Source organism: Homo sapiens, chromosome 5, assembly GCF_000001405.40.
Source record: "Homo sapiens chromosome 5, GRCh38.p14 Primary Assembly".
Taxonomy (NCBI): Eukaryota; Metazoa; Chordata; class Mammalia; order Primates; family Hominidae; genus Homo; species Homo sapiens.
The window spans coordinates 96,865,238-96,887,889 of NC_000005.10; the positions used below are offsets into that span (position 1 = coordinate 96,865,238).

Below are 22,652 nucleotides of genomic sequence, written 5' to 3' on the forward strand. Positions count from 1 at the left end.
AAATTAGTCAAGACCTGCAACTTATAGAAAAAATGTGATTAAAGTACCCAACCAGAACAGAATTGGAAGGAGGTCCATTTCCTTCATTTCTAATGTCTTCACTGAAATAATATAACCTGTTGGCCTTTGCTCCTGTTCCAATTGTAAATATGTGTATAAAAGCCCTACTGCTTTCCAAAGTACGAACTAGTTCTAAGTAAATTAGGAAATGGGAGATTTGCTTAACATTAGCAAGCTACAGAAATGATGTCAAAATACCCAGGTAGAAATACTTGGTAGATAGTTAATTGTTCTCTACAAGTAATACATCTGAGGTTTTGTTTTCTAAATTGGTAATCAGCAGTGGAAAATAAATACAATTTCCAAATAACCCTCAAATGTTTTTAGTCTACCAAAAAATAAAGGTAACTATTCTATTTTTCATTTTTCTTACTTTAGGCTTTAATTATGCCATACCAGTACTGTATTCTAAAATTTCTTTAACTCTAACATTTAATTCTACTACCACCTACCACACCACATCTAATCTAGTTCCACAGCATACTCAATAAGGGTTTTGGAATGGATGAATGGCCTTCATTTACATATGGTCAAATAAGATAGGTCCACACAAGCGGTGCAATACTGTCTTCCAAACCATGTTGCTTTCATCAGGCCTTGTCAAGAACTTTTCTTTCTCAAAGACATTACACCCAGACTGACAAAAATTAGTTGTGTTTTTACTCTACGCATGTATGTTCTATACAAGATCGCTTTTTTCATACTCAATCTACCAAATATACATACTTACAGCAATTGTAACATCTATTTGTAACATTACTATTCTATGTATTTACAAAAGGAGCCATTTAAAAATGAAATATAGCTATTAGCTTAAACAAGTACAAAGCCTAGTAGTGTTATCTACATGCTTCATGCTTCCAGTGTTATGCCTTATTCTCTCATTATGCCAAGCCTGTACTTTCTCCTTTGGTAAAGTGATCACATTTTCTGGTTCTCTTCCCCTTCCTAAGTGTCAACATAATCTAAACTCTGCAATTAATGTGTGTACAAGCTGTTTATACTTAATGCATCCCATATTTTGGTCTGTGACTCTTGCCTTAAAGAGCCAACTTTTAGGCTAATCTCTACGTTCTTCAATATTCATATCAATTTTAGTAATAAAAACACATCTGTGTGGAAAACAAATAGACAAACATCAGTGTTTGTAACATATAGTAGTAATAGTGATAATTATAACCAACATTCATTAAGGATGTTTATTTAACATGTATGCCCAACCCGGTTGATACGCCATCCCAGCTCTGCCCCAGGGCCTGAGTTGTTTTTCTGGGTGCAGTTGCTTTAGTAATAGCCAATGTCATTCCCGCAGCTATAAAGCCATAGTTCCTGCCATTACAGCCACAAGAAACTTGGGAGACATCACAAGGCACCTTCTAGGAGAGACCTCGTACATGCACACTAGCCAGCCTGGAGGCTGGTCAGCCACCAGGAGGGACCTGCTGACACAAGCTGGAAGTGCTGAGGAGTTGATGTGCTATTGACAAACAGGAGAAGAAGAAGTCAGCAGATCATTTGTCCACCTTTTACTCTATAAATAAACCATTCTGAAGCCAGGAGTTCCATACTGCCTCTCTGGGGATGTCCCACAGGACCAAGCAACCAGCTACGTTTCCTTGATGAGTGACTGGGTCATCAGTACCTAGCTTTGTGCTTATTTCCCTCCTTCTCTGCCTGCCTCACTTCCCTTTTTCCCTGCTTTACCTTTCTGATATTTTTTTTTTTTTTTGTCAGAGTCTCACTCTGTTGCCCAGGCTGGAGTGCAGTGGTACAACCTTGGCTCACTGCAACCTCCACCTCCCAGGTTCAAGTGATTCTCCTGCCTCAGCCTCCCGAGTAGCTGAGATTATAGGCACCCGCCACCATGCCCAGCTAATTTTTGTATTTTTAATAGAGACGGGGTTTCATCATGTTGTCCAGGGTAGTCTCGAACTCCTGAGCTGAGGCAATCCCTCTGCCTCAGCCTCCCAAAGTGTTAGGGTTACAGGCATGAACCACCGTGCTGGGCTTCTCCCTGAGATTATACCCTGTGCTTTAGTTATGGCTGCATAACAAATTAACACAAAACTTAGTGGCTTAAAGCAACAATAATTATTTACTATTTGTCACAGTTTTTATAGGTCAAGAATTTAGACAGGGCATAGCTAGGATGACTCTTCTCTGCTTCAAAATGTTGGAGTCTTAGGTGGAATTCTTGAAGGGTGGCGTTGGGATGATTTGAAACTCATTCACTCACTTGTCTGGTATTGGATGCTGGCTGTCACCTGGAAGTACCTAGCTGGAAGTATCTGCCAGAATGCCAACAAGTCATCTCTACTTGTGGGCCTGGGATTCCTCATAGCCTCATGGCAGGTTCCAAGGACCAGCAGAGAGAGACAGAACCAAGGAGAAGTAGTAGTTCCAAGAAATATTTAACAACCAGCTCTCATGGTGGGGAAAAAAAAGGTACTGCTTTGTATAATTTGTTTATTTACCTGCTTTAATACTCTATGTGGGCTGGGTGCAGTGGTTCATGCCTGTAATCCCATCACTTTGGGAGGCTGAGGCAGGCGGATTACCTGAGGTCAGGAGTTCAAGACTAGCCTGGCTAACATGGTGAAACATTGTCTCTACTACAAATGCAAAAATGAGCCAGGTTTGGTGGCGAGTGCCTGTAATCCCAGCTACCTGGGAGTCTGAGGCAGGGAGAATTGCTTGAGCCCAGGAGACAGAGGTTGCAGTGAGCCGAGATCACACCACTGCACTCCAGCCTGGGTGACAGAGCAAGACTCCATCTCCAAAAAAAAGAAAAACAAACAAACAAACAAAAAAACTCTATTCTCAGGCTACCAACTTGAAGTCACTGACCCAACATTGGAAAGAAATGTATACAATCAGTTCTCTCTTAAAAGTCAGCCCAGCCCTCCATGTGCACAGAAGCCACCTCCCTTCTATGACCTGCTGCATATTATTGAAGGCAGTTACAAAAATCTACCCAGATTCAAGGGGAGGAAACAGAGACCTCACTAACAAGAGCAAATGAGACTGGTTATCGGTGTGGCCATCCTTGGAAATACAACCTACCACTCCTTCAGTAGAGCATTAATACCTAAACTTTGCCTTATGCTGTCTTTTGTGGGGAACTTTGACTAAGGCAACACAGATATATCTCTTTTCATTCTCACAACAGCCCTATGAAGTTTGTGCTATTTTCCCAACATTTGATAAATGAGGAACTTAAAACTTAGAGAAAAAGTGTCTTGCCCAAGTCCACTCAGCCATTCAGGAATTGAGCTGGGATATAAAGAGGGAATGTTTTATTTAAGATCCTGAACTCCTAACCCTAGGCTAGTGGTTCTCAAATTTTAGTGTGTATCAGAACCGTTTCAAAAGCTTGTTAAAATACAGATTTCTAGACGTCACCCCGAGTTTCCAATTAATTCCATTTGGGAAAGACTGAGAATTTGCATTTCTAACAAATGTTCAGTATGCTGCTGATGCTGTTGGAGGGGCAAGGCATACTCTGAGAATCACTGCCCTAGGCTCTACTAATGCATAGTTATTCAAGCATTCAAATTAGATTTAGTAATGGTATCATAAAAATTCTCACCCCCAGTCCTCAACTTCATATATCGAAATCCAAGCCTACCTATAAATCTGATTATCTTAAGTCTGGGTTGTATACTCGTAGAATGTTATTGCTTTTTGGATTGTGTGATTTGCCTCAAGATGTGTGTTTGCACAGTGTTAGCTCTACAACACAGGAGTCTCTGCAGTTACACTTGTTACCACTAGATGAAGCTCCTGCTGCTTTTGCTTTCTTCGCTCAAGAGAACTTGTTGGTTGGCTACTAGATGACACTGATTGTAATTTAAAATGCATAGCTAGGGTTACACAGAGTTGCTTTGCTCTGAAGATAGAGTGACCTGTCTTATTAGTCAATAAAATTCAGAAAGCTAGGTGGTAAACTGTACATCATGGCCTGAAGGCTGTAATCCATAACTTCTCTAGTTGATAACTGCTTATTTAAAAGTATGTACCCATCACCCTCTACCCTCCACTGACTAGTTTTATACCAAGTGTTGGCTTCAGAGAGGTACAAACAGAGGACACTCATGAAAAGAAGAAGACTCTATTTACTCCTGGATGAAAGTTGAGAATTAGCTTACTCAACATATTTCCAAAGTACAACCATGAGCCCACTCATATTTATTTAGTTTACAGATTTATTAGAAAATAACAGGTAGATTCAGGATTTTTATAGAAAAGGATGGTAGAAGGAGCAATCTGTCTGGAACAAAGGGCTTGGGGTTTTTTGCTGTATTCAAATATCAAAAAACATTGTCAAATGGCTCTGGAGAGTTAGGAAGACAGCTGAAGGAAACGAAGAGTGTTGAATTAGGGAAGCCTAAACATAAGTCTAGTGAAAACTCCTCAATAATCTGACCATGAAGACTGTGGAGCTATTGTAAGGTGATCAGACATCTATCCACATTGAAATGGTTCGGAGAAGAGGATGGGTGCCCAGGCAAAAGGCCCAGAAAAACCTTTTTGGAGGCTTAGGGAAATCTGCAAGTGGGACAGGGATGGGGGAGGGTGCTGCCTTTTGCTGTAATGGCACAGTATGTAATTGGACCAACCCTCCCACTGAAGACAATTGTAAACACAGACAAAATAGAAAAAGATCTTTAAAGCATAAAAGTCTAAAAAGATAGTGAAGAATTACTAAGCTAAGATTCTAGAAAAGTTGGAAACCCAAAGAGGTGAACGAGGGATTCCAGAAATTCCCCAGGGGCATTTGCAGATTTGGAAGAGGAAACCAAGAGGCAGACTAAGCTTTTGATAGTAGGACCAGGGGCTGCAAAATCTGAGAGCTGCTGAGAGTAATGAGAAAGGCAGTCTCTGACAGCCAGGAGCTGAATGGGCACTCACAGCCAGACCTCAGTGTTCTCCTGTTGAACACAAACAATTTCATGGAATATGAACATCAGACACAACCACTCTTGTGACTCTGATGGATCAAGACAAACACAAGCCAACTCCATAATCATGTCTGAACACAGGCAAACATGAACGTTGTCCAAACCACAAAAATGACCAAACATCTTCAGGTCCTGGCTAATATGAATGACTGCTGTTTCTTCACCAATTTCAGCCTTAGCCTTTGTCTAATCTCTTAATAAGATACGAAATCATAGAATCACCCCCACTTTCTTAGAACATTTAAACCAAAACGAAGCCCTGCCCCATGAAACTCTCATGCAAATCACCTATAACATCCCATAATGACCCCTTTCTGACACTCTCTTTCTGAGATGCCCCAGGGCTCCCCAGGGTGTTTTCCCTTGATGTAGTGAGTTAATAAACCCAGTTGGTTCAAAAATCACCACCAAGCTTTTTGCCTAGTTGGGTGGTGGATTTTTCTTTTATTACTATGCTATTGAGTTTTGTGCTGGAACACAGATAAGTTACTTGAGAAGTTTCATCCTTTTGGATCCTGCTTTTAAGATTTGTTAGGCAGGACCAGAGCAGAGACTTATCTGCTCCCCACTACTGAGGTAAGACACTTTAGCACACTCTACCCATTGGCCCATTCATCTTGAGGTTCTCCAGTTTGATGGGTAGGCACAAGCACTACTTCTGTCTCTGTGCAAGCACCAGGCTTTGTTCCCACTAATCCTTTTCAGTGGTTCAGTTTCTGGCAACGTTTATTTTCTGCTCATGTGCATATTGATCATTGATCAGCAGAATACTCCAGGAAAATCCTCAGCAGGTTTCCAAAGCCTGCCCTCCCACACACCGTTCGTCTCTTTCTGCAGCTCTCTCCTCTTTGGTATTCATCCTATGAACTCTGGTTTCCTTGCTCTCCCAGAATCTCATCTGCATCTCCTCAACTCAAAGAATCTGCTGGGCTCTGCCTTAGTTCTGTCTCCCTGCAAAGCAGCCTGGAACCTCTCTCAAGGCAGAAAGCTGGGAAAATCACAGAGCTTGCCTATTTGTTTCCTTCTCTCCAGGGATTGCTGTCTTGGGTTGCCTGATATTCATTGTCTTGTAAACTGTCTTTTGTTCATCTTTTTTTGGTTGTTTTAAGCAGGAGAATAAATCAGAGTCCCTACTCTATCTTGGCCAGAAGCAAAAGTTTTTTTAGATCTTTTAGTTAAATTTTTAAGTAGGGGAGAAGCCAAAACATTACTGATTTGGTTTAATCAGTTGGTTTTAATCGGTTGGTTGAAAGCATGCAAATTTACTTTCAAAATATTTAACAAGCTCAGAATCACCCTGGTTTATTTTGCCATCATTTTTCCTGTTTGAGAATGTGTCATCAGTTATTTAAATAATCTGTAATTGGAAAGAAAATAACAGAGGCACCAGCATTTTTCATTTGGCTACTAAATAAAAATTTTTAATGCTGTAAAATAGCAGTTGTTCAATGTCAAGTTTGTCTAATATTCTGTTCCACTTTAACAACATCAGATTTTTATGGCGGCATTTTTCTGTTTTTGTTTTCAGTAAGTGCTTTGTGGAAGGCATTGCAAAAGATAACCATTTTTGAAAAACCATCTTCCTGTCAGTTACTGATTTAAAATTCTGAGAATACATGTTTTCATTTTCTGTTACAACTGAATGAGTTTAAAAGAAGCTATAGATTGCATTTACTAGGTGAATTTCCCCTCCCTACCCCCATTTCTCATATTTTGCATAAGGCTCTGAGTCTTTATACTAACATAAACTTTCACTGATTTTCTTTAAATTAAAAATTTTAAGCCCATAATATAGACTCTGTCTCTATTTTGTCTGAAAAAGAACATAGGCATAACAATAATTCTTAGAAGTATTTTTAATAGATTTATAGAGATCCTTTTGAAAAATAAAATGGAAGTCAGAGAAAAGGAAGCTACTTTTTAAACTATAAGTTGGCTTCAGAGTTACAAGCATCTAGCACTGTCAGGGAGCCATTCGTCATTTTATTCATTCTGTATCTCCCCACTGCAGAGGTTGCAGTGAGCCGAGATCACATCACTGTACTGCAGCCTGGGTGACCGAATGAGACCCTGTCTCAAAAAAAAAAAAAAAAAGGAAGAAAGGCCAAGGCAGGTGGATCACTTGAGCTCAGGAGTTCGAAATCAACCTGGGAAACATGGTGAAAACCCATATCTACAAAAAATTAAAAAATTAGCCAAGTGTGGTAGTGCACACCTGTAGCCCCAGCTACTTGGATGGCTGAAACAAGAGAATCGCTTGAGCCCAGGAGGTTGAGGCTCCAATAAGCTGTAATTGTGCCACTGCATTACAGCCTGGGCAACAGAGCAAGACTCTGTCCCAAAAAACAAAAAATAAGAATAAAAGTAACTGATGCAGGTAAAGAAATTTAAAGTTTACAAAACATTTATGAATTGTCTTTCATATATTTTCCCTAATTGATTCTCGGATTGACAATAATCCTCTGTAGCAAAGTATCATTGTGTCTAATTTGGAGATGAGGAAGTGAATTATTTTAAGAAGATGTTTCAATTCTCTTGATCCTAGGTTCAGTTTATAATTTTTTAAAAAATGAAGTCATTAAGATTTAAATCTGTTGAGAACACCCTAAGAGGATAGAAACATATGTAATATATTTAATAGAAATTCTCGGCTGGGTGCGGTGGCTCATGCCTGTAATCCCAGCACTTTGGGAGGCCAAGGTGGGTGGATCACCTGAGGTTAGGAGTTTGAGACAGGCTGACCAACATGGTGAAACCCCGTCTCTACTAAAAATACAAAAATTAGCCAGGCATGGTGGTGGGCGCCTGTAATCCTAGCTACCTGGGAGGCTGAGGCACAAGAATCACTTGAACCCAGGAGGCGGAGGTTGCAGTGAGCAGAGATTGTGCCACCGCACTCCAGCCTGGGTGACAGAGTGAGACTTTGTCAAAAAAAAAAAATCATGAAAATTCGTGAAATCTTTAAAATATTTTGACAATAAAGTCTCATCTCTTTGGAAAATTCACTGTTAACTCATTCATTCTCACCTGTTTGTTGAGGGCCTATGATGTGCGCAACACTGATAGGTGCTAGAAAGAGGTGGAATCCTGGTGCGTGGTCCATTGCCTGAAGTTGATAATCTGAGGAAGAAAACGAAACACAAACTTGTTAGCCTCAGATGAGTGCCAGTAGACCTACTAAACAAATGCCTGTAGTTTGGGACTGGAAAGGAAGCATGTGTTACTTCCAAAGTGGCTTCTTGGGGCTGGCATTTACCTTGTGGTAGGTGGTTTACACAGGGGACACTCTGAGTGTTCCATAGACACTCTAGGTCAATGGAGAGGAAGGTGCAGAAAAGCTGAGGAAACACTTGGCTCATCCAGAAGTGGAAAGCACCCTGATGTGCTTGAAGCATGAAGCAAGTGTTGGGCAATCTAAGGAAAAACAAAAAACAAAAACAAAAACTAAAACACTGAAAATGCATTCACCCACTCAACTAACATTTGTTGAGGGTCTCTTATATGGCAGGCTCTGCTCTATACTGGGCACTCAGCAGTTAGAGGGCAGAGTTGCTACTGCAAAAAGCTTATGTTCTAGTGAGGAGACAAGAAAACAAACAAACAACTACATAATGAAGTATAAGGAACTGACCAAAGCTAAGAAGAAACAAAAAGCAGGCTGACAGGATAGGCCTTGGTGATGGTGGATTTAGGGAGGAGTGGTACTGCCTTAGAGCCAACAAGGAGGGTCTCTCTGAGTAAGAGACAATTCAGAGACCAGGATGAAATGGAAAACTGAGACATGAATTCCCTAAGCAATAAACTTCCCAAAGCTTATCCCAAAGAAAAGAGAAGAGAAAAGAAAAAAAAAAGAAGGAAGGAAAGAAAGAAAGAGAGAGAGAAAGAAAGAAAGAAAGAAAGAAAGAAAGAAAGAAAGAAAGAAAGAGAGAGAGAAAGAAGAAAGAAAAGAAAAGTTAGGAGCCCATTTTGCTGAGAAACTCTTTTAAATAAGCTACAAGTACTTGAATCTGGCTCAATTTTCACTTCTAGGATTCTGCAGCTCAATTCCATAGCCTGTTTCTTCATTCTCCATCACCACTTCTGTTCCAGTGGGCAGGAGAGAGCTCTGAAAACACACATGCACTCGCCCACATACCCACAGCTAGGCTGGATCTTGTGACAAGGAATATCACAGAAATACTCCCAGCCTCCTATACCTCTTCTACCTGCCCCCACGCCCTGCAGAGTTAGAGTCCGTAGATAAGCCCTTGGGGCCTCCTCTTCTTTGTCGTCTTTGTCCCCTTCTTTTTCCCACTCACTGGCTTCCAGCCATCCCCCTTCCTGTGGTGCCCCTCTCACTACATGAAATGCAGCTCTGAGGGACCCCATTCAGTCTTATGTTTCGGGCCTTAGGTGTAGGCTACTGCCTTCCTTTCTGCCCCTTCTACTTTATCGACTTGTTCTTTCAGGTTGAAATAATAAAATGTAGAAAGGTGGAAAAATTAAAGCTTGAGACTTAACTAGGATCTAATCATGGCAACATGTGCTATTGGGCCAAACATAGGTTGCAAACACAAACCACAGCAGGACAAGGCACATGATACAAGTCTATGAAGAGTGTCTGCAACATGATAAGAGCTAAGCTTGTTATATTTCACTTGACAATAGAAATTGTATGGATGTATTGCCATTTAATAGACTGTGATTCAAACAAAACAACTATAGGCTGGCATATAGGCTGCCAGTAGGCCACTATGGTTCCCACACTAGGACTTGCCCCTCTGTAAATGGGGAAATCAAGGAAAGATCTTGAGCAGTGGGGGAGGCATGGTCGAGCAGTAGTTGAAAGGATTAATCTGGTGGCATCGTACAAGTAACTGCAAGAAGCTGAGCTTGAGAAGCTGGGAAGACATGATTGAAGGCCATTGTGAGGAAGGATGAGGACCTGGACTACTTTAATAAGCGGTGGGATTTTTTCTTAGTTGGATAGAAAGAGATTGAAAATGATTCAAAAAGGCCAGTTGCGGTGTCTCATGCCTGTAATCCCAATCCTTTGGGAGGCTGAGGCAGAAGGATCACTTGAGCCTAGGAGTTTGAGACCAGCCTGAGCAACATGGGAAGACCTCATCTATAAAAAAAAAATAATAAATTAGCTGGGTGTAGTGGTGGATGCCTGTAGCCCCAGCTACTTGGGAGGCTGAGGTGGGAGGATCATTTGAGCTCAGGAAGTCAAGGCTGCAGTGAGCTGGGATGGCACCACTGCACTCCAACCTGGGTGACAGAGTGAGACCCTATCTCAAAAAAAAAAAAAAGAAAAGAAAAGGAAAAATCAACAGGCTTTGGTAACAAATTGGAGAGGGACAGAATCAAAGTAACTAACTATATGGTTCAATCCTAGATAATGGAAGAAGGCTGGAAGCATATAAAGCAAAGGGTGTTTATCTGGGGAAAGAAAACACTATTTGAGTTGTCAGGGTTCTGGTTCAGGTTAGGGTTAGACATCCATGTACTGTTGGTCCATCAGGCTGTTGGAATTACAGCAGCAGAACCCTTGAAGGAGGGATCACAATGGGAGCAATGTGGGATGAATGGGGATAAATGCTAAATCTGGGTACTGGAAAGGATAAAGAGAGGGCAGAGCAAAGGCCAGAGGTTTCATCTTTGTGGAAGGTCTGTATTCAGAGCAGAGAGGAAGTTGAAGCCCAACTCAAACAGGCAGATAAAGAGAGATCAAAGAGATGAGCATGAGATACAGTCCCCTCGTGCCCAAGGAGACAGGGTGGTTACAGACATGGAAAATCTGAGAATAATCACCTCTGATAAAGATCACAGAAGCTGCCCGGGAGGTGTTTGGTAAGCTTGGAGTTACGTTTGTGGGGTGGATGGGCAGAAGTCAGATTTCATAGCACTGAGGATGCAGCACAAGGAGAAGTTCAAGATCAATTCCTAAGACAACAACTTGGCACTAAAAAACATAAACTATGTTCTGAAGGCTTTACCCTGGGGACAAGGGAAGGGAGGTGATAACAGCAGAAGTGGCAGCCACTGGCGATCCTTTCTTTCCATGGTTTGGCTTCTACTCCAAAGCCACTTATTTGTGCATTCTACAAAAAGTTTCTTGTCCTTTTTGAAATAAAGCTCTTATCCTAAGCTCCATTCACACCTGCGTGATAATGAACCAGCTAGTACTTACTGTACTCAGGAAGCATGCAAAGTTCTGAATCTTAGAACAGAAAGTGAAAGCAAAAGTAAATTCCCCTTCAGTCAAATCTGCAGCAGCATGATTTAAGGTAACGTATCAACATTTCTCTTGGGTTTGTCTTAAAATTAGATTTTTTCAATAAGAATAATGAACTGAAGGTATAGAACTGCTGTGTTGAGAAGGTTTTGTAATCTAAGGCAAGGTTCTGGGGGACTGGGGTGAATTGGGCGCGGCTGTATTAGAAAGTGTATGCAGTTGAGGCTGGGACTTGATCTAAGACGCTGCTGCACTGACTCTCTTTCAGAGATCTTTTTGTCTTTTCTAAGCGTTTGTGACAATTCTTGCCTCTTCAATCCCAGGATGTTTTGTTCACTGCATTGCTATTTAAGGTACAGTGCAGTATAATAGAAAGCCCACCAGACCAAAGGGCAAAGAGCTATGTTTTAGTCCTGATTCTGTTTCAGACTTCCTGTGTGGATTTTGAGAAGTCACCATCCTGTTCCTTCATCTGTTTATTTAATTTAATTTATGTATTTATTTATTTATTTATTTTGAGAGAGAGCCTCGCTCTGTCGCCCAGGCTGGAGTGCAGCAGCACGATCTCGGCTCACTGCAACTTCCACCTCCCTGGTTCAAGCGATTCTCGTGCCTCAGCCTCCCGAGTAGCTAGGACTACGGGCATGTGCCACCATGCCCGGCTAATTTTTGTATTTTTAGTAGAGGTAGGGTTTCACCATGTTGGTGAGGCTGGTCTCGAATTCCTGACCTCAGGTGATCTGCCCACCTTGGCCTCCCAAAATGCTGGCATTACAGACCTGAGTCACTGTGCCCGGTCCTGTTTCTTTATCTGAACACTAAGGACTTGTACTAGCTGGCCTTTACAACCCTTACTAGTTCTAAAGTTAAAGACTGTGTGAGTAAAGCTTTTCTCTCTACTCTTATCAATCAAGTACATCTCTAGGAGTGTCTGCTACAAGTGGGGGCGAGCTACTCCTTCATTTTGGCCATTGAATGCAAGTTATAACCTCAATAATAATTTCATATCCAACACTAATTACTTACTTCCTATATGCTCCATGCTGTGCTGTGCCAACTTCTTCACATGAATTATTTCATTTAATCATCCCAGCATGAGGAAGGTATAATTATTACACTGTTTTATGGTTGAGATAAATGAAGCTCAAAAAGTAAAAAACTTTGCCCATGATCACGTAGGTGAGGTTGGTGGAATTAGCGTTGGAATCTGGGCACTCTGATTCCAAAGCCTCAGACCCACATAATAAGCCACTCCATTTTTTTTAAACCCTCCAAAATTCAAGCTAATAGACCAATTATGAGTGTACTTATCAGACGTTCTTGGAACACTGAGATTTGTAGCAGTAATTTAATGCTTGTTTTTAAAAAGAGGGAGAAGTATCTTTAATATTATTTTATTTTTGTTCCTTTAACAATACCTGTCACCTGCATTAATATTGCAAATTGAAAAATTGAAGTAATTGTTTGGATAATTAATGCTGCAGAACTTGTTAAGGATTATAAAAAGAAGAAGTAGCAGAGAAAACCTTCATGGTTTGAGTTGGAGCAGTAAGGAAGTAAGTAGAGGCAGGTGGTAGGGTGGCAGTAAGAATTGATTCCCCCAAATTAACTATGCTGTTTGTCCTAATTTTATATGTGTTGTAGCTTTACCCTTCAAAAAGAAAGAAACTTAGTTCTATTTACAAAGGTAGTAAATTCAGTTTGATTTAATTGTGCTTTCAAAAGTAGTGTAAAGGGAAAAGAACCGAACCTTAAAAAAATTCTGTAAGAATATTATAAACTCAAAATTTATTTCCATGGCTTTTGACATATTGAAAATAAACTGGGGATAAATACCTACCTTGACCAGCAACCTTTACACCAGTAGCCATAAAATGAGGCCATTCAGATAATGTTATTGAAAGAGGTGAAGTTCAATGCCATTCGTAGTAATAATAATATCTGGTATCCAAAGAATATAGAATATATATATAGAATATTCTTTGTGACTTATGAAGACAAAATAGAGACATCTTGCACAGTTTACTTTCAGGCATACACTTAAAATTACATGTGTGCCTGTGGTTCCAGCTAATTGGGAGGCTGAGACATCAGGATTGCTTGACCCCAGGAATTTGAGGCCAGCCTGGGCAACATGGTGACACATTGTCTTTCAAAAAAAATAAAATATGGCCAGGCGCAGTGACCCACGCCTGTGATCTCAGCACTTTGGGAGGCTGAGGCAAGTGGATCACCTGAGGTCAGGAGTTCGAGACTAGCCAGGCCAACATGGTGAAACCCCGTCTCTACTAAAAATACAAAAATTAGCTGGGTGTGGTGGCACATACCTGTAATCCCAGCTACTCGGGAGGCTGAGGGAGAAGAATCACTTGAACCCCAGAGGCAGAGGTTGCAGTGAGCCAAGATAGTGCCACTGCATTCCAACCTGGACAACAGCGAGATTCCGTCTCAAAAACATAAATAAATGAATAAAAATAAAGTAGGCTGGTCACAGTGGCTCACGCTTGTAATCCCAACAGTTTGGGAGGATTGCTTGAGTTTAGGAGTTTGAGACCAGCCTGGGTAACAGGGAGACCCCCATCTCTACAAAAAAGGTAGCCGAGTGTGGCGGTGTGTGTCTGTAGTCCCAGCTACTCTGGAGGCTGAGGTGGGAGGATCACTTGAGCCCAGGAAGTTGAGGCTGCAGTGAGCTGTGATCATGATTGCACACTCTACTCCTGCCTGGGCAACAGAGCAAGACCCTGTCTAAAACATAAATAAATAAACAAAAATTTAAAATATAACCAAATGTTAAAAACATTCAACATGCAATGAATTTACACACCTGCCTTCTGCTCGCTGCACAAGAATTCAGAAGAAATTCATTACATTCAATTTTAAGGTAGGGTTTTTTGGGGGAGTCCTAAAGGGTTTTTATTTGTAATAACCAGATAACAGCTTAATTTCTGCTCTATTTTGTGGATACTTGGCCTAATTCTGACAGAGAGCAGATTTTCCCTTACTCACACATACCTTTTTACATGTTTAAGATTTTATTTGTAAATTGAAATCTTTTTTGTCATGCTATAAGTGTGTTTTTTTCTTCTAGATTAAATTCATGTATTGAAAATATTGTTCAGACCCCATGTGACATAACTGGAGCCAGTGCAGTGCCATGAAGAACTACGAGATTAGCCTGGATATTAACTTGTCTTCTAGAGAATAGATTTCATGTTCCATTCTTCTGCAATGGTTAATTCACACAGAAAACCAATGTTTAACATTCACAGAGGATTTTACTGCTTAACAGCCATCTTGCCCCAAATATGCATTTGTTCTCAGTTCTCAGTGCCATCTAGTTATCACTTCACTGAGGATCCTGGGGCTTTCCCAGTAGCCACTAATGGGGAACGATTTCCTTGGCAGGAGCTAAGGCTCCCCAGTGTGGTCATTCCTCTCCATTATGACCTCTTTGTCCACCCCAATCTCACCTCTCTGGACTTTGTTGCATCTGAGAAGATCGAAGTCTTGGTCAGCAATGCTACCCAGTTTATCATCTTGCACAGCAAAGATCTTGAAATCACGAATGCCACCCTTCAGTCAGAGGAAGATTCAAGATACATGAAACCAGGAAAAGAACTGAAAGTTTTGAGTTACCCTGCTCATGAACAAATTGCACTGCTGGTTCCAGAGAAACTTACGCCTCACCTGAAATACTATGTGGCTATGGACTTCCAAGCCAAGTTAGGTGATGGCTTTGAAGGGTTTTATAAAAGCACATACAGAACTCTTGGTGGTGAAACAAGGTAAGAACTTGCTCAGGTAATTTACATTCTTTTGTGATAATTTCCTTACGAGTTACATCTCTTTGCCAGGAGCAGACTTCAGCAGCCATTTATGAGAAATCCAGTGAACTATGGGGAACCCAGAAGAAGGAAAAGATCTACCATTCCTTAAGGAAACCACAGTAGAGATGTAAAGACAGGACTCAGAGGCATAAACAGCTAGAGGGTGAATAACTAGGAGGAGAGGCCAGTATATGACTGATATGATAGATATGCTTATGTGCTAGGGAAAGAGATGGTCAGTGCAGAGAGGGCTGAAATAGGGAATGCTTCTCAAAGGAAGTGAGTCTTCATCTGGGACCAGAAGGAAATGTAAGTGAGACTGGGATTGGGAGAGAGGAAGTGACAAAGTATACATTGCCTAGGTAACAGCCATGACTCATATCGAATAGTCAGAAACAAGGAACTAGTTTGGAAAATTGAGAAATATAGTCAATTTGATCAAGTCACATTCATTGAGCACATACTATGTGCCAGGCACTGCACTAGGCACTGAATGTATAATGGTGGGATCTGATGGAAGAGACAACCAGGACAAGAAAATCAATAAAATTGGCAAGGTAATTGGCCAGTGTTATGAATGAAATAAAACAAGGTGCAAGAAAGGTAGAAAATGAGGCTGGAGATTGAAACTAATTCAGTTGACTGGGCAGGGAAGTGTTTGTTGAGGAAGTGAATTTAAATTGAGAGCTGAGTTTTTTTTTAAAGAGACAGTTATGAGAACATCTCGGGGCAAGTGCTCTAAAGTGGGATTGGTTGAGGAAGGCCAGTGTAAGCTGAGGAGAGCGAACAAGAGGGAGAAAGGGATCAGATCATGTGGAGCCTTGGGGCGTCTTGTAAGGAGTTTTGACTTTAACTCAGATGAAATGGGAAATCACTGGAGGATTCTGCTCTGATTTATGCTTTATAAAGATCAAGTCTATGTTGAGGGTATGTTATAGAGAAGCAGAGTAATCAATTGGGAGGTCATTGCAGTAGTTCAGGTAAGAAGTGATGCTAATTTGGGCCAGGCTAGTGGCAGTGCTTATGGAGTGAAACAATTGAACTTGGCAGTTATTTTGGAGGGCAAAACAACAGAGATTGCTGACATATTGGTCATGTGAGGTGAGGGAAATAGAAGAATCAAGGATGCTTCATAGAGTGGACGGCTTGGTTTCCCAGGGCCAGGATCCATCTGGGAGGTAAGAGGAGTCTGGCTCAGTGCACTCTCACGTTATGTGAATTGTGTTCAATTGCCAGTTGGAGAAATCTAAATTCCATGGCTTAACCACACAGGGGCATATTTTTCTCATGCAACAAGAAGTCCAGAAGTAGGGCAGCTCAGATTGCTATAGTGCTGTTCAGAGTCATCCAGGACCCAGGCTCCTTCTGTCTTTCTGCTCAGCCATCCTATGGCTTTCTTCCTAATACTTGCAAGATGATTGCTGCACCTCTAGGCATCAAGTCCACATTCTAGGCAGGAAGAAGGGGGACACGGGGGAGAGATAAGGGCAAAAAGAAACATTCCACTTGAATCTAACACTCTTTACAAAGATTTCCCACCCAATGACTTCAGCTAGACCAGAATGAGTCATAGCCTCACCAAGTCACAAGGTAGCCTGTAAGAAGTAACTCTCTTATCTGGACTTGTTGCCTTCCTGAATAAAATCAGGATTCCACTGGAACCAAGGAAGGGAAATGGGTATCAGGAAGTGACTAGCTGTGTCTACTACATCCTGCTCTTCCCTTCCCCACTTGGGTGCTCACTGCACAGCCTGCAGCCATCCACCTAGGACAACTCTTCCCCAGGCTCCTCTCTTTCCACATTCCCTTGGTGACACTTCCCCTCATTGCAGCCACAATCCTCAGGGGCTTGTTTTCAGGCTCAGCACAGTATTGGATAGGAAAAGTGTCAACTTCTTCTCACTAAGGCACCACATAAACAATGATGGCTTTTTTCATTTTTTTCAAATGCCGAAGGCCCCATCCAAAGGACATATATCTTAGGGATACTATTCTGGGAGCTGTGGGAGATGAGAGGGGGAGATATTTGGAGTAAAGCTGTAGGACTTTCCAGCATGCCTCCCGTGATTAATTGCAGGCTATTCCTGATGCTCCTTATGGTTAATTAGTCAGTTCCCTTCATACTCAGTCACCTAGTAGGTCTGACATGTATGATAATGTACTGCACAATGTCAATTGAATCTTATGAATCTCTCTCTCTTTCTTCCTCACTTCTTCATCTAAACTACACAAATAATTCAGTTGAAAGTGGTTCTTTTGAGATGCAGAAGGTCACACTTTGCATGTAGAGTTCCAATGAATCGTGTAAGCAACAAAGATTCAGGTTTTTTTGTTTTTTCAATGTAGACTTGTTACAACCAAAATTTCATGTGAGTGAAAATTATTCCAGCCAGTTAGAATTCCTTTACATTTGCAGAAACTGCTACCAAATACAAATAAAACCTTGAGGCCACAAGTGAATCATTTACATCCCTAGCCTCAGTTTCCCAGCCTGTGTCATAGAAATAAAGCAAGCTGAAGTAAAATATCCTGACAGCTTCTCTTTTTTCCCTCCTGACCTCTCTCTCCCTCTTATTTGAGCTATTCTATTCCCCCCTCCTTTTCCAGTCAAAATCTGCTCTCCAAATTCACTTCTTAATTGAAGCTTAAAGTCCAAAGAGTAAATCTGTAACTGTACAGTTTCAGGCATATCCTGGTGTTGGGGTAGAGAAGTTTATCAGAGTATATATCTATTATACCTGTCATCATCTGAAGAGTGGCAAGCAGAGAGAACTAGAAGTACCTGGGGGCACAGGTGCCACAGACAGACCATTAGCCAACAATGGTACAAGAATATGAAAGTCCAGCTCCTTGCCTCCAGTGGGGGACACGTGAAGGCGTAGTTTGCATCCCAGAGCTCCCTGGGAATCAGGCTGATGCTGGGACTTTGCCTGTCCTGCACCCTTGACTGGCTTCTCCCTTTTCCCTGTCCTGCTTCCCTCACTCCCTTACCTGTTTCTCCTGGCAGGATGTTCTCAATAAGTCAGGATCTGCTTCCTGGAAATACAACTTAGGACATCACTCATGTACACAATTACTCAAATGTCTATCTGAGGCCCTTTCAGGTTTAGAGACAATACTGAACATTTAATTTCCTAGTGAATTTTGAAGACATGTAGACAACATGTGTACTATTTCAGTCATTTACTGGCTGCGGATCCTGCTAAGGTCATTCAAGTTGTCTGAGCCTCAATATCCTTGTTTGACCTGAGTATGAATGAAATAATGTAATTAGCATTCCCAAAACAGGGCATTGCTTATGATTGATGGCTGCTAAATAAGATTTTACCTTCATTTTCCTCAAAGAGACAGTTGAGATTCACAAAGATTGCAGTTTGAGAAATCAAGTCTATTACCCCCAGGTTTGATAAGCTGTTTGCTGAATGTACAGATTCATTTCTCTTCTTGATTTCACTTGTGCATTTTGGCTGGGGGTGGGTCTTTTCACAGAATTCTTGCAGTAACAGATTTTGAGCCAACCCAGGCACGCATGGCTTTCCCTTGCTTTGATGAACCGTTGTTCAAAGCCAACTTTTCAATCAAGATACGAAGAGAGAGCAGGCATATTGCACTATCCAACATGCCAAAGGTATGTCCACTTCCAGAAACTTTTAGAAATTGTTCTCAAGTTGAGACTCAGTCTTCGTTTGTTTTTTAAAATTGCTTTCAGGATTTCAGCCATTAATTTGTTTTTATCTATCTATCTATCTATCTATCTATCTATCTATCTATCTATCTATCATCATAATTTCAATCATTCTAGACGTTAACATCATTCTGTTTGGGGCATTGTTACACAGGAAGCTTTTTTTTTCCCAAGCAAAGTGATTTATATTTTGTGTTCATATGGAAACAGTATCTTAAATCTGTGTTTCTTGGCCAGGGATGAAATTCAGAATTTCCTAGAGCAGTACTTCTCAAACTTTAGGGTCCAGATTAATGGTCTGAGAATCTTGCTAAAACTCAGATTCTGATTCAAGAAGAGGTCTTGGGTTGAAGCTTGAAGTTCTACCTTTCCAACAAGCCTCCAGCCACTGCTGACGGTCCAGAGACCCCTTTTGCAGTGGCAAGGACCTCAGGGACCCTGCAGGGCCCCAACCCAAGAAATTCTGATCTAGAAGTCTATGATGGAACTTAGAAATCCCCTCTTTTAAGTTTCACAAGTAATTCTTAAATTTATTTATGAAAATTATTAATTGTGGTTATACAAGTTTTTTGTTTGTTTGTTTGTTTTGAGACAGAGTCTCTCTCTGTTGCCCAGGTTGGAGTGCAATGGCGTGATCTCGGTTCACTACAACCTCAGCCTCCTGGGTTCAAGCAATTCTCCTCCCTCAGCCTCCCAAGTAGCTGGGATTACAGGCTCCCACCACTACACCTGACTAACTTTTTTTGTATTTTCAGTAGAGACGGGGTTTCACCACGTTAGTCAGCCTGGTCTCAAACTCAGGGACCCTGCAGGGTCCAAGTGCTAGTAGAGGCAGCATATCTTTTGGACACTTATTTGTCTCTTTCATCCTGTAAGGAAACACACACTCACTGGTGACAATTGCCATGCAAGTAAACTTCTGCTGGTATTGAGAAAACAGCTAAATCCTTGTCTAGCAGTCAGTGTTTTGTACTTGAGATTACATCACCATCCTGGAAGAACTTACACTAATACCCCATACACGTCTATTTAAGGCAATGTTAATCTACATGGGTCACTCCAGGTTTCTGAACAAAACTCAGCCTCCATGGACTGTATCGTCTTCATCTGGTGGGGATAAACCATAGCAAACGCCCATTTGCCTCCGAACCATCTCTGCCACCAGCCTTCTAGTAGCCCAGACGTATTTCCCCATAGTCTCACAGCCTCACGCCTCTGCCAGTAACCCCTCCACACACTTGACTAAATGGTTTTGCTGCTGAGTTTGGTCAGAAGACCACAATAATACCCCAGCTCTCAGCCCCTACCATAAGACAGCACCTCCTCTGCTGGGAGTGGATATCCAGAGAACACTGGTTGAATCAGCTTCCTAAAAATGGAGACGGTTGTTGGGGAAAATTAATTTGCTGGATAGAGTTCTTAAAAATTACAGCCCTGTATATACTTTGACTTTTCTTACAGTATTTTATCAGTACCTTCCTCTTTATTGGAGCTTAGAAATAGATTTCAAATAGAATTCAGCAAAATTAAATTCTGTAGAATTTAGTAGCAAAAACATTTGCCATCAAAGTAGACTAGATAATTTATGGTAATGCTTCAAGCTATTTTCTCTTGCCAAAGCAAATCGTAATCTTATCCAACATGTCAAACATGCTTAATAAGCTGCAGTCAGCATCATCACAAGCCTGACTCCCAGAAAGGGCTCAGGGATAGAGGTGGGGAAGAGCCTGTCTAGGAGTTGTGACTAGCTTGAAGAAAATGTTTTCAGATTATTGGATCTGTATCCATTCAGTATTTGGGGGCATTGTACCATGGTGAAGACCATCTCTGAGACAAGCTGCCCAGACCAAATGAAGATAGAATTCAGTCATTACCCAGTGATCTTGATAGATGCAGCTGACGAGACTGCAGGCTGAAAAGTTTCTGCTTCCTCAGGAGATGGACAGAAGCTTAAATTACTAATGACCTCCTTGGCCTGACTGCTTTCATTGCTGAATCAATGAAGCAAAGATAAAATAAGACCATGACTCAAGCTGTCACGCAGCAAGTGAGAGAATGAGCATCATCTTTGGAGTCACACGGTCACATCCACATCTTGGTCCTACCGTGGAACTAGCCATGTGATCTCCAACAATTCTGTGAACATTTCAGAGTCTCTGTTTCCTCACCTGAGAAACAACACCAACCTCACACCCACATAACAGGATTAAAAGATAATGTGCAGCCTCTAGTTCAGTTTCACTTCCTGTTTTCTTTTTCCACAGGGGTGTACTTCTTGTACAACAAATAAAGGGAAAGGGGCCATTATCTGGTATTTTACTTAAAAGCACAGAAGTTGAATTGATGCCAGTGTTGGAAATTATTGCATTTTAAGAAAATAGAAATATGTAATATTTTTATGCTTTCAATCAACAAAATGAGATTTGGCATTTTTGTGCTTTGGGGATCTCAAAAGCAGGGCTTTTTGTTTTCAACAGAGTGTTGGGGTAAAAGCAATGGAGGTAAGAGAGGCTACAGAATACTAGGAGAGGCCATTGCCCCCCTAGGAGGTCATCGATTGTCCTTCAGAGTATGAGGCTTGCCTCTAACTCACCTGCCATAAGTCATAGGCATGGTTATGAAATACTCCAGTTTTCAAGTACTGATTATTCCTTTTCCTTTCTGTAGGTTAAGACAATTGAACTTGAAGGAGGTCTTTTGGAAGATCACTTTGAAACTACTGTAAAAATGAGTACATACCTTGTAGCCTACATAGTTTGTGATTTCCACTCTCTGAGTGGCTTCACTTCATCAGGGGTCAAGGTGAGACTGAGTTCTAACGTTCTACGCAGTGCAGAAAAGTGTCCTGAGAGCAATGAACTTTTGTTTTCTCATGTTTTTCATTGTTATCAAAGTATTATGTTTATATTACAAGAAGAGATAGATAAAAAACTAAGTTAAAAATTATCCATAGTCCTGTCACCAAGATACAACTACTGATAATATTAATGTAAGCCTTCCAAATATTTTCTATATGTATGTCAGCATATATGGGTGTACATAGTAACAGTATTTACTTACTATATATGTAAAGGTAATTTTCAAAGTATATATATATATATATATATATATATACACACACACACACACACACACACACATACATATATACCCTTTGCAAAATAATATATTGACTATTTTTAACCCATTTTTATCAAAATATGCCATAAAAGTTGAATGTCATTTAAAATTTTAAATAATATTAATAATTGCATGGAGGTTTAATAAGGATTTTAAAATCAGTATCTTATTTTTGGGCATGTATGTTGTTTCCGACTTTTTTTTTTTTTTTGAGACAGAGTCTCACTCTGTTGGCCAGGCTGGAGTGCAATGATGCTATCTCGGCTCACTGCAATCTCCGCCTCCTGGATTCAAGCAATTCTCCTGCCTCAGCCTCCCAAGTAGCTGGGACTACAAACACAGGCCATCATGCCTGGCTAATTTTTGTATATTTGTAGAGATGGGGTTTCACCATGTTGACCAGGCTGGTTTTGAACTCCTGACCTCAGGTGATCCTCCTGCCTTGGCCTCCCAAAGTGTTGGGATTACAGGCGTGAGCCACCGTGCCCGACAGTTTCCAACTGTTTTTTATAACTTTTTTCCCTCAATGAAAGAAGATCTTTATAATTTTTAGAGTCTTCGTTGTTTGCAAAAACTTACAACAATACCTAATGATTATCTTTGTAGTTAAATATTTGCAAACATCAGTGAACACATTAAATAAATAAAAAAGAACTTCTTATCCCAAGAGACCAAATTATAGACTTAAAAACATTTTTAAAGAGTTATAAAATAATGCTTTTGAAAAATGGGCATAGGCCGGGCACAGTGGCTGATGCCTGTAATCCCAGCACTTTGGGAGG

The 22,652-nt window shown here is 40.9% G+C and overlaps 2 protein-coding genes across 12 annotated transcripts in view, besides 5 other annotated features; one reads left to right on the forward strand and one right to left on the reverse strand.

Annotated features, from left to right (window-relative positions):
* Positions 1-22,652, reverse strand: part of ERAP1 (endoplasmic reticulum aminopeptidase 1) — a 175,042-nt gene that overhangs the window by 104,425 nt on the left and 47,965 nt on the right. For 4 of the 5 annotated variants that reach the window (XM_047417310.1, XM_011543485.3, XM_011543484.3 and 1 more), the window contains exons 2-3: positions 8,278-8,435; positions 8,049-8,141 (exon numbers count right to left, since the gene is read on the reverse strand). The gene's annotated coding sequence lies outside the window, so the exon portion shown is untranslated. The remainder of the gene's footprint in view (positions 1-8,048; positions 8,142-8,277; positions 8,436-22,652) is intronic. The other variant, XM_017009581.2, reaches the window with a different exon arrangement.
* Positions 10,747-22,652, forward strand: part of ERAP2 (endoplasmic reticulum aminopeptidase 2) — a 43,733-nt gene continuing 31,827 nt past the window's right edge. For 3 of the 7 annotated variants that reach the window (NR_137637.2, NM_001437802.1, NM_001329233.2), the window contains exons 1-4: positions 10,747-11,290; positions 14,327-15,023; positions 18,555-18,693; positions 21,418-21,552. Coding sequence is in view for 6 of the 7 variants with exons in the window: in NM_001437802.1 (NP_001424731.1) it covers positions 14,449-15,023; positions 18,555-18,693; positions 21,418-21,552 (849 nt within the window). In the remaining variant the exon portion in view is untranslated. The remainder of the gene's footprint in view (positions 11,291-14,326; positions 15,024-18,554; positions 18,694-21,417; positions 21,553-22,652) is intronic. The other 4 variants (NM_001130140.3, NM_001438758.1, NM_022350.5 and 1 more) reach the window with 3 other exon arrangements.
* Positions 10,902-11,031: an enhancer, noted in NCBI's record as "active region_22818". NCBI's record gives its function as "activates an Ori minimal core promoter by ATAC-STARR-seq in GM12878 lymphoblastoid cells {active_cell/tissue: GM12878}" and the evidence as "EXISTENCE:reporter gene assay evidence [ECO:0000049][PMID:35858748]".
* Positions 11,052-11,201: an enhancer, noted in NCBI's record as "active region_22819". NCBI's record gives its function as "activates an Ori minimal core promoter by ATAC-STARR-seq in GM12878 lymphoblastoid cells {active_cell/tissue: GM12878}" and the evidence as "EXISTENCE:reporter gene assay evidence [ECO:0000049][PMID:35858748]".
* Positions 11,372-11,581: an enhancer, noted in NCBI's record as "active region_22820". NCBI's record gives its function as "activates an Ori minimal core promoter by ATAC-STARR-seq in GM12878 lymphoblastoid cells {active_cell/tissue: GM12878}" and the evidence as "EXISTENCE:reporter gene assay evidence [ECO:0000049][PMID:35858748]".
* Positions 11,952-12,161: an enhancer, noted in NCBI's record as "active region_22821". NCBI's record gives its function as "activates an Ori minimal core promoter by ATAC-STARR-seq in GM12878 lymphoblastoid cells {active_cell/tissue: GM12878}" and the evidence as "EXISTENCE:reporter gene assay evidence [ECO:0000049][PMID:35858748]".
* Positions 19,239-19,413: a silencer, noted in NCBI's record as "fragment chr5:96220180-96220354 (GRCh37/hg19 assembly coordinates)". NCBI's record gives its function as "represses an EF-1alpha promoter that drives an FKBP-Casp9 reporter gene in an ReSE screen in K562 erythroleukemia cells {active_cell/tissue: K562}" and the evidence as "EXISTENCE:reporter gene assay evidence [ECO:0000049][PMID:32094911]".